This window comes from Homo sapiens, chromosome 4 (assembly GCF_000001405.40).
Source record: "Homo sapiens chromosome 4, GRCh38.p14 Primary Assembly".
In the NCBI taxonomy this organism is placed as follows: Eukaryota; Metazoa; Chordata; class Mammalia; order Primates; family Hominidae; genus Homo; species Homo sapiens.
Window position 1 is genome coordinate 48047419 of NC_000004.12, and position 4728 is coordinate 48052146.

General features: G+C 46.2%; 1 annotated feature.

Annotated features, from left to right (window-relative positions):
* Positions 215-414: an enhancer, noted in NCBI's record as "active region_21535". NCBI's record gives its function as "activates an Ori minimal core promoter by ATAC-STARR-seq in GM12878 lymphoblastoid cells {active_cell/tissue: GM12878}" and the evidence as "EXISTENCE:reporter gene assay evidence [ECO:0000049][PMID:35858748]".

Genomic DNA, 4728 nt, shown 5'->3' on the forward strand with positions numbered 1-4728 from the left:
GAGGATGAGAAGGTAAGACACGGGCAATGGTATTTTTGAAAAGCTGTCAGATCATTCTAGTGTGTGAAAACCACACCAGGAAGAGGAAGTGAAACACTCACATTCTCCAGCCCAGTGGTTTGCGGGCAGAAGAGGGAGAGTGATATTAGAGGGGTTAAAGATACTGCAGGGGCAGGAGGGCCAGGTAGAGGGTACTGGCAAGGGCAGGGAGGCTTGCATTCTGCCTTGTGTTCAGATTCCTGGAGGGAATTGCCCCACGAACTGTCTGGAAAGCAGCCATGGACAAACTCTGCAGCACAGCATGATTAAGCAGGGGAGTGAGGGTAGAGGCAGGAGTGCAAAATTGTAAAGTTTTAGCTTTTTGAGCTATTCTCAGTCCCTGTGTGGTATGGACAGGACCCAGAAGCTCCCACATGTGCTCAAGATGGTCCTCTGGAAGCAGCTGAGTTGAATCATTTCCCAAAGAAATGACATGGCACTCACCCTTCAAGAGCAAGGTGACCTGCAGCCCAGGCTGAGGGGCCAATGAAGACTGTGGCAGAGTCTAAACTTACACCATAAGCCTGCAGTGCCAGCAAGAGCTGGGGTGAGGTCAAATCAGCCAGGGAGAACTCCTGTGCCCTAGCCAAGTCAGGAAAGACCAGTCCACACCAGTCACCAGCTCCACCTGCAAAAGCTAGCTGGATAAGCAGCAACTAGGATGATAAGAAATGTTGTGGAGATCAGAGGTGCCAAGAGACACTGCTCCAATACAAACAGCCCTTCCCCTTCACTTCACCGCTGTGAGGTCACCTTGCCAGGGCTGAGAGTCACAGTCTGCATTGGAAGGGCTACTAATTGCTAGCTGTTAGCATCCACTCCAGTGGGTCTGTGTCTGTGTCAAATCAGTTAATTATGTTGAATGTCACTCCTAGATAAAGTTCCCCCTTTCCCTGCTCTACTCAGATGCTGTGTTGGGCAGAAACAGAAAAGGAGAAGCAAGACCTGAGAGCCTATCCATTTTACTGAATGAGAATATTTTCATCATTGCACTAAGCTAAAGTTATAGGGTTAAAATCAATCAAGTTTCGCCAGCCCTACCCAGCCAGTAGGGACACATGAGGAAATCTACAGAAGTTACAGGCAAAATAAAAGAGCTACAGCTTGTCTGTACATCTAACAGTAGTGTGAGGAAACTTCCATTCCTGCTGTAGACGTAAGGATAATCTGCTTCTTCTATGAAGTATTCTTCTTCTTCTTCTTCTTCTTCTTATTATTATTATTTGAGATGGAGTCTCGCTCTTTCACCCAGGCTGGAGTGAAGTGGCATGATCTAGGCTCACTGCAGCCCCCGCCCCTCAGGTTCAAGTGATTCTCCTGCCTCAGCCTCCTGAGTAGCTGGGATTGCAGGCGCCTGCCACCACGCCTGGTTAATTTTTGTATTTTTAGTAGTGATGGGGTTTCACCACGTTGGCCAGGCTGGTCTTGAACTCCTGACCTCAGGTGATCCACCCGCCTTGGCCTCCCAAAGTGCTAGGATTGCAGGTATGAGCCACCGCGCCCAGCCCAAAGTATTTATCTGTTTATAAAATATGGATTTGTATTTCTCCATAGATGTATTCAGGTGTCTTTTTTTTCTATCAATCTGATATTAGTCCCTAACATAGTGTATTTTTCTTTGTCTATTTAAACAGAGAAAGGGAGATACAGAAAGTTGTGTGTAAACCCAAATTGTTCTGAAAAAAGTAAGATCTATACCAAAAAGAAGAAGGACAATGACCAGCTGAGGTTGTCACGTGGAACTAGATGAAAAAACAGCCCATTGCTCTATAGAAATGCAATGGGTTGGCCCAGAATCCCGAGAGGAGGCTGCCTACCAGATTGGATCTCACATCTCTGGAAAATGAAGCTTCTGGGTGATCCCACTACTTTTATTTAACTGGGTCATGCCATTAATACTTACTTAGCTCAGCTCTATGCCAGGCCCTGTCCTAGGACCTAGAGATGCAACAGTGAATGCAACAGACAAAAATACCTGCCCTCACAAATGTTACAGTTGAAAGAGAGTGGGGATAAAAGACAGACAGTAGACCAAAGAAATAGGTAAAAAAAAAATGTGTATGATTTGTTATATAATGTTAAGAGCTATAGAGAACAATGATACAGAGAAGGGAGACAGGGAATGCCCACGTGGGGTTGCGATTTTAATCGGAGGTGGTCAGAGAAAGCTTCAAGGAGAGGGCGACAGTTGAGCAACGACCTGGAGGAGATGGGGAAGTGAGACATGTATCCAGAAACATTGCCAGCAAAGGGAACAGCAGCAGGTGCAAAGGCCCTGAGATGAAAGGGACTGGCTGGCATGTGCAGCGGGCAGCAGGAAGGCCAGGGGCCGCATGGATGAATGGGAGAGTAGCAGGAGGTGAGCTCAGTGAGGTTGTAGATCCAGGTACAGAGAGGAAGCCGAGCACATTGCTCCAATCCAAGCAGATTCTTCAACTTCATCTTCAGCTTTCCCAGACAGCTCCATGAGGTGGAAGCCACCAAATCCACCACTGCTTGCACTCAAGGAAGGTACCTGCATAGGATTGTCAGCTTTTTCTTAAGATTTTCATATATTGTTAAGGCTGTCTAATTTTGAGAAAATTTGCCCCCAGATCACTTCAAAATGTTAAAGTACTAGAGAAAACAGAACCTGGCCAACCGGCACTAAATATTGACAACATTCTCCCAACTTACTCATCATGTTTGAGCTAATTTGCATTAGAAAAACAAAGGTCATAGCTGAAGCATTCCAGTTTGTTACTAGAGAAGATGGTGGGGCCAGGTGCAGTGGGTCACACCTGCAATTCCCACACATTGGGAGGCCAAGGCAGGCAGATCACTTGAGGCCAGGAGTTCGAGACCAGCCTGGCCAACACAGTGAAACCCCCGTCTCTACCAAAAAATACAAAAGTTAGCTGGGTGTGGTGGCACACGCCTATAATCCCAGCTACTCTGGAGGCTGAGGTAGGAGAATCACTTGAACCCAGGAGGCAGAGGTTGCCAAGATCACACCACTGCACTCCAGCCTGGGCAACAGAGTGAGACCTTGTCTGAAAAAAAAAAAAGAAAGAAAGAAAGAAAAAGAAAAGAAAAGAAAAAAAAATAAAGAAGAAAAGAAAAGATAAGATAAGATGATGGACTGCATGGAAAATGGCCAGAAAGCAAGAGGGGAATTGGGAAAAGACGAGCATTTGGTATTTGTTGATTATCATTCCAGCATTTATCACTCCCCTTTCCAGACCCTCTGAATGGCTCTCATTTTCTATTTTCAAGGTAAATGGATTTCAGCTGTGGCTCTTGAGGAAACATGTGCCCAAGTCCAAACCAGTCAAAGCATTCCATATCCCTAGCTACAGAGATTTGTTCCTGGAGGGCGTGTGGATCTGATCCAGTCAGAGAGAACCTCAGGACTCTGGTGGAAATGCTGGGATAGAGACGTTCTCTCCCTCTGGATAGTATAGTATGTCAAGTTAAGGTATGTGACCACAACATCCACTTTTCATCTGGGAGGGGTGGAAGAGGAGGCAGCCTGAGACATGAGAAATGGAGCTGGAAGGATGATAACAGGGTGAATGTCTGTACCCCTGGACTTCACAGTCACAGGGTCTAATGATACCCCTTTTAGCCTTAGAACTGTTAACATTTTGAGCTGGATAATTCTTTGTTGTGGGGGTATGTGCTCTTTGTAGGATGTTTAGCAACATCACTGGTCTCTACTCACTAGATGCCAGTAGCACACCCTGCCTGGTAGTAATAACCAAAAATGCCAGTTCAAATTGGATTTTGTTTTGTCTTGTTTTGAAAGTGGCATGGAGCTACCCTGCCTCCAGAGAGGTATGATTCACCCACTTTGTCTCCCTTCAACTAGCTGGGGTGTGGCTCCAGAGGAAAAGAGAGGCTCAAGTGCCCATCTGAAGATGAACCCCAGGCCAATTGGAGGGGGTGGTTGGAGACAGCTTCTCTCTCTCTGCTGCCAAACATGGGGGCAGTTGAGGCTCTTCACTCATCACGTCTTGGATCCCACCATAGAGGGTTCAAGGCCAGTAGTAAAGGGGACATGCAAACCAGAACCAAGCACCAGTCCCGACAATATGTGGGGTGAAAAAGGCTTGGCTGGATATGCACATCAGGGAATCAGCTTGCTGGACTGGCCAAAATTAAATCCTCATGGGTCGCTTTGTAGCCAACAGTAAGTGGCTGATTGGTTGTGTGTGGCCCAGCATATATCCCTCCAGATTCAGAAATCCTACTGGATACAGAAGAGTTTTGAATCTTTTTTTATGCTACAGATCTCTTTAGAAGTCTAGGGAAGGCTTTATACTCCTTCTTGGAATAATTTTTCTGTTTTTTTTCCTTTTTTTGAGACAGGTTATTGCTCTGTTGCCCCAGCTGGAGTGCTATGGCACAAACAGTTCACTGCAGCCTTGACCTTCTGGGCACAAGTGATCCTCCTATCTCAGCCTCCTGAATAGCTGGGACTACAGACGTGTACCACCATGCCTAGCTGGAATAATGTTTTTTTTTTATTATTATACTTTAAGTTTTAGGGTACATGTGTACATTGTGCAGGTTAGTTACATATGTATACATGTGCCATGCTGGTGCGCTGTACCCACTAACGTGTCATCTAGCATTAGGTATATCTCCCAATGCTATCTCTCCCCCCTCCCCCGACCCCACCACAATCCCCAGAGTGTGATATTCCCC